This window comes from Homo sapiens, chromosome 12 (assembly GCF_000001405.40).
Source record: "Homo sapiens chromosome 12, GRCh38.p14 Primary Assembly".
NCBI lineage: Eukaryota > Metazoa > Chordata > Mammalia > Primates > Hominidae > Homo > Homo sapiens.
In genome coordinates this window covers 70925146-70938457 of record NC_000012.12, presented here as the reverse complement: position 1 = coordinate 70938457, position 13312 = coordinate 70925146, and the positions used below count along the sequence as shown (strand labels likewise).

General features: G+C 35.2%; 1 annotated feature.

The window, feature by feature from the left end:
* Nucleotides 2163-2363: a silencer, noted in NCBI's record as "peak1810 fragment used in MPRA reporter construct". NCBI's record gives its function as "represses an SCP1 promoter by STARR-seq MPRAs in K562 erythroleukemia cells {active_cell/tissue: K562}" and the evidence as "EXISTENCE:reporter gene assay evidence [ECO:0000049][PMID:32103011]".

Genomic DNA, 13312 nt, shown 5'->3' with positions numbered 1-13312 from the left:
GTCTACACCCCTTCTGTGATATTGTTTTTAATATCCATGAAAGAGATTATGATACTACACCTCATATCACAGGTGGTGAACACCTCCTCTGTGGTATTGTTCCTAATATCAATGAAGGGAGAGGATATTATTCCCAATTTTGCAGGAAGTGTGATATCAAAGGGGGGGTGTACAGTCCCTCATATATATTGGGAATAATATCCTATTCTCCTCCCCTGGATATTAGGAACAATATCACAGAAGGGGCCTCTACCCAGTGCGATATTGTGAGTAGTATCATCTCCTCTCAACCTGGATATTGGGAACAATATTACAAGAGGGGTCTACAACCCCGTGATATTTTGAGAAATATCATTCTCTCCATACCTGGATATTAGAAACAATATCACAGGGGTTGTACACCCCCTGCGATTTTGGGAGTAATATCATCCTCCGACCCCTGAATATTAGAAAAATATCACAGGGGGGTGTACACCACCTGTGATATTAGAAGTAATATCATCCTCTCCACCTTTGAATATTATGAAAAATATTACAGAAGGGTGGGCAGCCCCTGTGATACTGGGAGTAATGTCACCCTCTCCCCTACTATTTCTCCACATCCTCTCCAGCATCTGTTGTTTCCTGACTTTTTAATGATCGCCATTCTATTTAGCGTGAGATGGTATCTCATTATGGTTTTTATTTGCGTTTCTCTAATGACCAGTGATAATGAGCTTTTTTCTTCATATGTTTGTTGGCTGCATGAATGTCTTCTTTTGAGAAGTGTCTGTTCATATCCTTTGCCCACTTTTCGATGGGGTTGTTTGTTTTTTTCTCATAAATGTGTTTAAGTTCTTTGTAGATTCTGGATATTAGCCCTTTGTCAGATGGATAGATTGCAAAAATTTTCTCCCGTCCTGCAGGTTGCCTGTTCAGTCTGATGATAGTTTCTTTTGCTGTGCAGAAGCTCTTTAGTTTAATTAGATCCCAACTGACAATTTTGGCTTTTGTTGCCATTGCTTTTGGTGTTTTATTCCTCCCCTTTCTCCAGAAGAAAAAACAAATTATGTTATCCTCCAGCTATCACAATAGTTCTTTCCTTTCATTCACAGTCAAGTTGTATAAATGAAATGTATCTATGAATTTTGTGCATAATATTAAGGTAGTTGAAATGAAATGGTATAAAAAAATCAGTTATCAGGAAATACTGCGACCTGTCTCTAGAGAATTTTCTGAACTTTGTCCTATTTACCTGAGTTTCAGGAAGAGAATACCTTTATACTCCTCTTTTGACAATAATTCTGGTGTAGAATGAGAGAAAAAAGAGAAATATCCACACATCATTGGTATCTTATCAGTATCATTGTGTTTTCTACTTCCAGTTAAATTTTATTGGATTGTGGTTTTCTAAAACTTGGTAAAACTTTATACCAGAAAAATCCCAGAGTATCATAGGATGAAACCAACAAAGCATCGAAGATCTCCAATTTCAAGGATTTCAAATGTTGAGCCAAAAATCGTTAATACAAATATCAAAATGAAAATTTTTTGTTTACTCATTGCCAAGTTATTTAACCAAAACTCAATAGAAAGCTTTCAGCAAAAATCTTCTTCAAGCAATGTCTGACAAGAGGAGCAAATGTCTGCCTGTGAAGCACTCCTAAGTGACCTGCATATTCCTTTCTTGCATACATCAAATTACCAGTGGCTCCCAATGATGGTTACCAAGCAAAAGGGATTCCCTGCCAAATATCCTGGAAGCCATACTATGAAACCAGGTTTTAGAGAAAAGAAAAGCTTCTTATTGCAAGTCAGCTAGCAAGGAGACAGGAGTACAGCTCAGATCTGTCTCCCTGTGCTGGCTTGATGGGAGTAATTTCATTAGAAAACATTTAGTGGGTGGATTCTGAGATTAGTAGGTGACTGGTGGAAGGAAAGGAGAGGTCTGGAACATCTCTGGGAATGCACAGTCATCTCTTTTTGCTACCTCATGGATTGTATGTGTAAATTCAAGTGGAGTTAGTATAAAATATGCGGTGTGAATTCAGGCTGTGATGTCAGCAAGCTCATTCTGCATAAACTCCAGTTGGCCATATTGGTTCCAAATGATTTCAGCCAGTTTTATTCTCTTACAAGTGGAGGGAGTGTCTGTGTGTCAGCAAGTTGTTTCTTTTTTTATCTGCCATCCTGCAAACTCGAGGATTGGTTAGTCATCAGTGTCTTTAACTCTTTGGAGCACGGTTTCATGACCATGTATAATAAGCTTGAAGGCAGAGCTGATAATACTTTTGATGTAAGAGGATTACACTGCTTTGAAAAATCCTTATGAGAGTAGGGTGACATTGTTGTTAATCCATGTCTTCTTGCTTATTGGGGCAAGTCTTAGTGATAAGTAGCACACATATTTATGAAATAGCTGATCAAAAAAAAAATGGTGTGCTTCTGGTGGTAGAACAGAGAAAAATAAACTGGCCAGGATACACATTGAGTGAAGGGTATCAATTAATCATGTTCTTTATCGACCAAAAGAAAACAACGCTTCTGGTACGTTTTCTAAGCATGAAATTCAATCTATACTAAAAAAAAAAAATAAAGCAGAGATGTGCTTTATTTGGCTGTGACATCAGCAAGCAAAATTATTGAGGAAATACAATTTATTGTTGACCTTCTCTATCCCCCAAATTAACCTTCACAGTTATCCAGTCTAGAGTTTGAAAAGGACTTTGACTTCTTCCAGCCAAGCAAACGTAACTATGATTGCAGTTGCAACTAATTTTGAGAAGCCATTTTTGGCCTATTAAATAAGTAGAACTAGAAGTAGAACCTATTAAATAACTAGATTCGCTTTCACAGATCTGTTTGATGTATTTACAGAGCTCTTGAGGACAATTCACGAAAAAAATCATGGTCCTGATTCAGCTTCCTGATACTGAGAAAACTGTACCTAACTTCTTGCTAGTGGTTATGTAACAATGCCCTGTTGACAATATGAGATTACCAGGGTGATCTCACTAAGTTGCATTTTATATATTACATTTTTGTAGAACAACATGTGGATACAAGAAAAATACCTCATTTTTAGATTATAGAGGGTTTTTTAAGCAAAAGTTATAATCACCAACAGCATTATCATTGTTATTGTTATTGCTCACTGCCTGATGTATTAGAAGCCAATATGTCACCAGGATTTTAAGAAAAGAAAAGCTTTGTATTGCTAGTTGACTGACAAAGAGACAAGAGTCCAGCTCAAACCTGTCTCTTTGTGTTGGCTTTATGGCTGTAATTTTATTAGAAAAGGTTTACAGGGTGAATTCTGGGATTAGTAGGTGATTTGGCAGAAGGAAAGGTGAGGTCTGGAAAGTCATAAGAAATGTGCAGTTACCTCTTCATCCTTCTTCATAGGACCTTTGTGGAAATTTGGAGGAAGTTGGTATAAAACAAACTGGAAGTTTAGGCTGTAACATCAGCAAGCTCATTCTGTGTAAACTCCAATCGGTCATATCGGTTCCAACCAATTTCAGCTAGTTTAGTTATCTTACAGGCAGAGAGTTTTAGCATTTTAGCAAGTTGGGTTTTTATAATCTGCTATGCTGCAGGCTCAAGAACTGTTGATAGTTACTGGCTTCTTTAACTCTTTGGAATGCTGTTTCATTTGTATCTTTTCTACCAAGTGTCAATGGCTGTTACGCCAAGTACATACAATGCTACTGCTTCAGAGTGTTCCAGAATGAAGAACCACATAATAAAGAAGGCAAGGATAGTACTCTTATTCTGATGAAATGGTGGGCTAAACAAACTTCTCCTTAAGTTTTCCAGACAAAAATACCTAGAAGTGATACATAAATTATGACAGTTACGTTTAAAGTATAGTCAAATTCAAAATAAATAATGCAATATCCCTACGTGACAAAAAGTCATCAGAGAAATGAAAGTCAGGAAAATAAACACAAATTGGCACAGAGGCAGGGAGAAGAGGTGTAGAATAGTGGAATAGATGGTAGTGGTGGTACAGAGTAGGGGAAAATTAGGGAGGTTACCATATTGTGTAATAGCTAGGGTCCTGGGTTTTAATTTTCAACAGACACAGATCATAAACCTTAAGTAAAATGGGGGAAAATGAAAGACCTCTACATATATTCGGAAGCATCAAAGGATTGACATAAATAGAAACAAAAAATTCTGAGTTAAGATTCAGGTTTGCACAATAGAAGCCAATGCTTTCACAGATACAAACCAAAAACACTAAACAAAAGATACCAAAAAATGAACTTGGTACTGGAAAGAAAAGTAGGTAGACTGTATTATAGAGGAGAGGTGGCATTTTGAATGGAATGGCATAGAATGAGTTACTCATTTTTGTGGCATTTAGCTAGAGGGCATGCCAGAGTTAGCACATGGTAGTATAGCTCAACTGCATTAAGAAAAAGGCCGGGCACGGTGGCTCACGCCTGTAATCCCAGCACTTTGGGAAGCCGAGGTGGGCGGATCACGAGGTCAGGAGATTGAGACCATCCTGGCTAACATGGTGAAACCCCGTCTCTACTAAAAATATAAAAAATTAGCCGGGCATGGTGGTGGGCAGCTACTCGGGAGGCTGAGGCAGGAGAATGTCGTGAACCCGGAAGTCGGAGGTTGCAGTGAGCCGAGATCGCGCCACTGCACTCTAGCCTGGGCACAGAGCGAGACTTCGTCTCAAAAAAAAAAAAAAAAAGAAAGAAAGAAAGAAAGAAACCTGCAGCTCTTCTGAAACAAAGAACTAGGGAATGTCATTTGGGGAAACTTTTACTGAAAATCAAGAAAGGACCCCATAAAAGCGAAAGGAAGAAAAACAGGGGGCCCAAACAATATATATAAATTCTGCCCAAAAATCTGTCTAAAAAACAAACCACAATGGGTGGAAACAGATTCCAGCTAAGTATAATGGACCTCTCTAATTCTATGTAAGAACCTGTAAAAGGCCCATGCTGATCGTATAGCTATACGTTCATTTTACATACAGCAAAAATTTCCTTTATAAATGAAAAGGAAGTAAGAACATTCTTGGATAAAAGGAAACTGTGAGAATTAATTATCAACACACTTGCTCTAAAAGAAATGCGAAAGGACATTTATTGGGGTAAAGGAAAATGACGTCAGAAGTTAATGTGAGACATTAAGAATGAGGGACAAAGACAAATAGTTTATATCTGGGTAAATATAAAGGACCATATTCTCTTAAGTTATCCAAAATATGTATGAATGTTGAAAGCAAATTTATCACATTGTCTGATGGGTTTTCAATGTATGTAGATATAATATATTTGAGAATTAGGACAGGATTAAGGAATCTATATGGATGTAATTGTAAGTCATCTACATTTTACTTAAAGTAACAAAATAATAATTCTAAGTAGACTGTGAAAGAGGTATGCATATTTCACTCCCTAGGACAACCACTAAAGAAATGATACAAAGAGATCATATATAGCCGAAAAGTCGAGATAAATTTAAATGAAATATTAAAAATAAACTTAATAATACAAAAGAAGGAAGGGAATGAGGCACAGAGGAAACACAAAAAGAGAGGATGAACAGAAATAAAATAATAAAATGATAGTGTTATGTGCAATCATATCAATATTTATATTAAATGTAAATAGTGTGAACAAAGCAGTCAAAACATAGAAATTATCAGATTGTATCTTAAAATTCTTTTTAAAGACCAGACTATATGTTGCCCACAAGAAACCCACAATAAAAATAAAGACATCGATAGGTTCAAAGAAAGAAAAAAGAAACAAATAACAGAAAGATATGTGGAAAATTCTCAAATATTTGAAAATTAAACAACATATCCTAAACAACCTATAAGTTGAAGAGAATATTATGTAAAAAGTTTGAAATTAATTTGAATTGAGTGAAAACACAAATTACAAATTGTTGGAAAACAACTGAAGCAATGATTGTATAGAAACTTATAGCACTACATGCTTATTTTTTTAAAAAATAATCATGTATCAAGAATCATGAATCAAGAATCTAGGCTTCTACCTTAAGAAACTAGAAAAAAGGAATAAGTTAAATAAAAAACAAACAGAAAAAGGGTTCTAATAAAAACAAAAGCAGGAATGTTTGAAATAAAAAAGAATAGAGAAAAATCAATAAAACCAAAATCCTGTTTTTAAAAAAGATACACAAACCTGAAAAAAAACTCTGTAGAGATGAATGATTAATAAATATTACTATATTAAAATTAACAACTATTGGCCGGGCATGGTGGCTCACACCTGTAATCCCAGCACTTTGGGAGGCCAAGGTGGGCAGATCATGAGGTCAGGAGTTCGAGACCAGTCTGACCAACATGGTGAAATCCCTTCTCTACTAAAAATACAAAAATTAGCCAGGCGTGGTGGCGTGTGCCTGTAATCCCAGCTACTCATGATGCTGAGGCAAGAGAATTGCTTGAACCCAGGAGGCAGAGGCTGCAATGAGCTGAGATCACGCCATTGCACTCCAGCCTGGGTGACAGAGCGAGACTCCATCTCAAAAAAAAAAAAAAAAAATTAAGAACCATTAATCCAATCACATAATAAAACAAAAAATACAATGACAGAATATTTTAGCAACATAAATGGAAATTAAAAGTTTAGTATCTAAATTCTAGAATATATAACTTCCCAAAACTAACTAGAAAAGTGAAAACAGTGAAAATAGGCAAAAGATATAAAAAGGAAATTCACAGAATAGGAAACGTTAATAGCTATTCAAGATTTATAAGCATGCTCTCGTTACTAGCCCAAAAAAAGACATTTTAAAAATAAGATACCATTTTATATGCATTGACTTTGAAAAGTAATTATAAAGTCTAATATGTATAAGCGGGTACAGCTATATGATACTCTTTTACATTGTTTGGAATACAAACTGGTACTGAGACTATATAGAGCAATGTCAAGGTTTATGTTTAAGATAAAGATGGTTATAGCCTATGAGGAAACAATTTAACTTTTATGTGTGTACCTTAGAGAAACTATGTTAAATATGCTTGGAAAGCATGCAAAAATGTATTAAAATAAAAAATACTGTTTGTAATAGGGACAAAAGTAGAAACAATTAAGCTTTATGGAACATAATTCTAATTAGTAAATTTTAAAATTAAAAAAGTACTGCATATTGTTTATGGATACCCAAATAAAGTTTAAAGATATGATTAGGAATGATGAACTACAAAATCATAATAGTTGTTACATTCAGAGGCTAAGAGAATAGGGGTGAGAGAGTAGCTGTATCATTAGGTTTTCTTGTTTGTTTTTAAATTAAAAAAAAAAAGATCCAGTAATCCCACTGCTGGGTATCTACCCAGAGGAAAAGTCATTATATAAAAAAGGTATTTGCATATGCATGTTTATAGCAGCACAATTCACCATTGCAAAAATGTGGAATCAACTGAAATGGCCATCAATCAACAAGTGAATAAAGAAACTGTGATATATATATATCTCAATCAATTATATGTATAAATCAATTATGTATATATAGATGTAATTGTAAGTCATCTACATTTTACTTAAAGTAAAAAAATAATATTTCTAAGTAGACTGTGAAAGAGGTATGCATATTTCACTCCCTAGGACAACCACTAAAGAAATGATACAAAGAGATCATATATAGCCAAAAGGTCAATAGATAAATTTAAAAAATTAAGAACTATTAATCAAAACACATAATAAAACAAAAAATACAATGACAGAATATTTTAGCAACATAAATGGAAATTAAAAGTTTAGTATCTAAATTCTAGAATATATAACTTCCAAAAACTAACTAGAAAAGCGAAAACAGTGAAAATAGGCAAAAGATATAAAAAGGAAATTCCATCATATATATATATCATATATTTATATATGTGTCATATATATGATAATATATATATATTTCCCACTACTGGTAGATACCCAGTAGTGAGATTTTAATTTAAAAACAAAAAAGAAAACCTAAAAAAGGGGAAAAATATATATATATATGTGTGTGTATATATATATATATATATATATATATATATATATATATATATATATGATGGAATACTACTCAGCCATAAAAAGAAATGAATTAATTGCATTTGCAGCAACCTGAATGGTATTGGAGCCTACTATTCTAAGTGAAGTAATTCAGGAATGGAAAACCAAACATAGTATTTCTCATTCATATGTAGAAGCTAAAGTATGGGGATGCAAAGACATCAGAATGACACAGTGGACTTTGGGGACTCATGGGGAAACGGTAGGAAGGAGGTGAAGGATAAAAGACTGCAAATAGGGTTCAGTGTATACTGCTTGGGTGATGGATGCACCAAAATCTCAAAAATCACCACTAAAGAAATTACTTATGTACCAAATACCACTTGTTCCCAAAAAACCTATAGAAATAAAAAATAAGTTAAAAAGATGAGAAGCAAAGATAAACAAATTTTAAAAATAAAAGAAATAGCACAATTACTTATAACTCTTTTTTATACAATTCATGTTATAGTACTTTTTACACAATGGTATTTTTGTAATTATATCAGTGTTAGTCAATTGAGTTATCCAGGGATCATGAAAAAGATAAATGAAGACTCCTTATTCAAACTCTGCTTTTAGCCATCATTCTTAAAATAGGCAGGTTCCTGATTGGAAGGCACACATTTAGATTATCCTTAATTTGCCGGGGATTGAGGTATGACTCAGAATCCCTGATGTCCCCTTCTTGATGCCTGGCTTTGACACTTTAGATAATTTCTTTTAATGGGGTGATAGTTTCACCAGAGCCAGATTAGAACTGCCATGTTGGAAATATATTATAAATATATAATAATTTTCATTATTTTGTACAGTAAGTGAGCATTATCTGAATGTCTTTCCTTGCTCTCCTGAAGCAATTCACCTTAATTGAGGAAGGGCTTGAAAAAATAAGCCAATGATAGAATGCTATGGCACGATGCTCTGCAACAATTAAAAATATGATTGTGAACAAACTTAAATGACATGGAATTATGTCTCACAGTATTATTAGGTAAAGAAATAGTTTCCAAATTCATAGCATGATCCCAATGATGTAAAAATAATGTTAAAACTAACAATAATTATAGGTACATGCATGCAAAGACACACATATCCCCAAGATGAGGGTAGAGGAAAACCAGCTATGCCAAAGCATTAGCTGTATTTGTCACCAGTTGGTAGAATCCATAGATCACATTCTATTTTGTTTTTTCTCTATTGTCTATTGTGCAATAGACACAATATTACAAAATTTTGTACTTTAGAATGTTCAATTTCAGTCTGAAGAGAATTAATTTAGATGAAGGAAAACTGCAGAAATACCATCCTGGTTTTTGCCTACTTTCTAGAAATAGTGAGGTAAAATTGGGCTTCTATATATTATGTTTATGACTGATTCAAATAAAATTTCATTTTATTTCCAGTTTTGGAGCTGAATTTGGTTTTGAAAGGAATTCATTTTCTAATCTCTATGATACAAACCTAATATAAAATATGATTTTAGTTTAAGTTTGGAAGACAAATTTGAGGGTAGATATCTTTCCTAAAGTAAAGTACTTCCAAGATTAGAGGTTCCAAATGACACCTTTGTAAGAGAAATGGTTTATATTTTCTATTTCTATTAACAGTAAGGTAGTTTTTTTTGTTTTTTTGTTTGTTTGTTTTTGTTTTGTTTTTAAGATGGAGTCTCGCTCTGTCACCCGGGCTGGAGTGCAGTGGCGCGATCTTGGCTCACTGCAACCTCCGCCTCCCGGGTTCACCCCATTCTCCTGCCTCAGCCTCCGAAGTAGCTAGGACTACAGGCGCCCACCACCATGCCCGGCTAATTTTTTTTTGTATTTTTTTTTAGTACAGATGGGGTTTCACCATGTTAGCTAGGATGGTCTTGATCTCCTGACCTCGTGATCCTCCCACCTCGGCCTCCCAAAGTGCTGGGATTACACGCGTGAGCCACCGCGCCCGGCCACAGTAAGGTAGTATTTTGATGGGCACCTATCACATTAAATTGAATAAAAAAGGAATTTTACTTAAAAATAAAATGAAGCTACCTTCTATTTCATCCAAAAATAATAAAGTATCAAAATGATTTGCTTAAGCCATCCTAAGAAACAAGGAATTTGTCAAACTGTTTTCCTCCAGCATTTGGACAATAACTAACCCAAATATTCTGATGTCATTTGCCACACAGGAGGCTGAGAAAACAAAAATGCTTGCTAGGGCATTTTTCTCATTCTTTTCCTGCTTATATTTTTTTTCTTTTCTTTTTTTTTTTTTTTTTTAAGACAGAATCTCACTCTGTCACCAAGGCTGGAGTGCAGTGGTATGATCTCAGCTCACTGCAACCTCTGCCTCCTGGATTCAAGCGATTCTCCTGCCTCAGCCTCCCAGGTAGCTGGGATTATAGGCATGTGCCACCACACCCGGCTAATTTTTGTATTTTTAGTAGAGACGGTTTCACCCTGTTAGCTAGCCTGGTCTCAAACTCCTGACCTCAGGTGATCCATCCGCCTCTGCCTCCCAAAGCGCTGGGATTACAGGTGTGAGCCACCGCGCCCGGTCTCATTTCCTGCTTATATTTCTCATTCATATTATGTTAGCTTGACTTTTTGCTAGTGGTTTTAGTATAAGGGCAGCTCACAAAGTTTTTCTTTGTTTCTCAAAATGAATAAAATATCAAAATAGGCACCCACATTTCTAAATCAATAAGGTGTTTATTTTACACCAAAAACATGGAATAAAGAGCAGAATTCTTAGTTGGTACATCAGTTGGCTTTGGGTAGTCCCAATTTCTGAATCTTGTTAACGGCTTTGCTATCTCACAGTTGTATTTGAAATCAGTGAAACATGAATCAATGAAAATCTCTGGTGTAAAAATATTCATTTAAACTAATTTGGCAATTTGCCAACTGGATTTCTCTTTATATATTTTATATATTTACAGATATGCTGAAAATTATTTCTGATACTGTGGGGTTTTTTTTTCAGATTGGTTAAGATATCTATGGAATCATGAGAGTCTTTGCTGTAGCTATTCCCTCGGCCTAGGAAGTTCTTTAACCAGGTTTCTGCTCAGCTAATTTCAACTTCCAAGTCTTTCTCAATGCTCGCTTTCTCCACTTAAAGACCCTACTTAATTCTGCAAAATCCTTGCACTCATATTCTTCTCCCACCCCACCCCCACCTGCCTAATTCCCCTTACTTAGATCTACTTTTTCTGTTTCTCATAGCAGTCATCAATTTCCATCATACTATATAATTTACTTATTTCTTATATTTACTATTAAAGGTACATTTCACTTACAATTTAAGCTAAAGCAAAAATGTTAGTCTATTTTGTTCAACAATATATCCCAAGTACTTAATATACTTCCTGATGCATCATAGGTACTCAATATATAGTTTAATTATTTGAAATCAAGCAACATACCAACGAAATGTCGGCAGATGATTCCACTGTTTTTGGAATGTATGCGATATAGTATATCCTACCGTAATGTGACTTCAAATGACTTGACTTCACTGAACATAGGCACCCGTGTTGCCCTATCACATATGGTTTCTGATGAATGAGTCGAACTTAAAACCGTAAACAACTGCTTCATTGTCTGGGTGTATTAGTGGTTGTGTTATAGTCAATGGACATTTTTAGTAAGATTAACTCTTCATGTTATAGAGGTGCAGGTGTCTAACAAGAAAAAAAAATTTCTTCTGAAATGCTTTGCAACCACGAACTATAGACTAATAAACCACCCCATTCTCTATTATAGGCATCCAGCAGCAAGAATGAGTGAAAGAAATAAGTATTTTTAAAAAGTTTAAACTTTTATTCAATATTATTATTATTATTATTATTATTATTATTATTATTATTTTGAGATGGAGTCTTGCTCTGTTGCTCAGGCTGGAATTCAATGATGCTATCTCAACTCACTGCAACCTCCACCTCATAGGTTCAAGGGATTCTGCCACCTCAGCCTCCCGAGTAGCTGGGATTACAGGCATCCACCATCATGCCTGGCTAATTTTTGAATTTTCATAGAAACGAGGTTTCACCATGTTGGCCAGGCCAGGGCAGGTTTTGGACTCCTGACCTCAGGTGATCTGCCTGCCTTGGCCTCCCAAAGTGCTGGGATTACAGGTGTGAGCTACCGTGCCCGGCCTTAAACTTTTAGTTTTAAAGAATGAAAAGTCAACACCGGGGCCTGTTGTGGGGCAGGGGGAGCAGGGAGGGATAGCATTGGAGATATACCTAATGTAAATGACGAGTTAATGGGTGCAGCACACCAACATGGCACATGTATACATATGTAACAAACCTGCACGTTGTGCACATGTACCCTAGAACTTAAGGCATAATAAAGATATATATATATGCAAAAAAAAAAAGAATGAAGAGTCAGTGAGGGAGACATTAAGGCCTATATTTGGGAGATGTCCTTTTAAATCATCTTGTAATTATGTGAGAAAATAATGTAGAGAAATGAGAGCAAGATTAAATGATCTAATCAACCCACAGTTACAATCCCAGGATATACTTAGTGTCCCAGGCTATTGTGTGAACAAGTTGTTCCAAAGTGGCCTCATTCAAGGAAATCTAAAAGAATGGCCAACCATTGCAGAAAATGTATTTGAATGCTCAAAGTAGATAGTCTAAGCCATAACAGAGGGCTGTCACATCTGTGTGCTGCTCAGGATGATGGATAATATAAGTGCAGCCTGATTAGTGTCTTGGGATAAACAGAGAGCTAAAGCAGGAGAGTCAGAGGTTTGTAAATAAATCTATTACTGACATCTTGGATGAATCTGACCTTTGCAGTGCCAGAATAGATGACAATACAATACATTGGTACCAAGGGCTAGCTCCAAGAAAACTTTGTTCTTCGTTTTGAATAAAATTTTAATGATGAACCAATAGCAGAATCTATAGGTACATATAGCCTTTCTGCTTTTCATATTTTATGTTTTACTACAATAGCATAATTCACATATGCACAGAAAAGTATATCTGCCTTGTTTTAGGTACCTAATTTTTTTCCTTAGGATACATATTGCTGCCTTTGTGTGTGTGTATCAAATGCTTTAATTTAACAAAACTACAACTGTGTTAAGTTATAAAATGTAATTGTTGTTATCCATCTTGAAGTCTGTGTCTTGGGATAAGAACACTGTTTTCAATTTAAGTATTAAAATAAGTTCGGTCATTAAGCAGGGATGTTGTACAATACAGCTGATAACAGCATAGTGCTAGGGGTCACCATACCTGAGTTCTAATCCCAGCTTCACCACTTACCAACTGGATGGCTATAGGC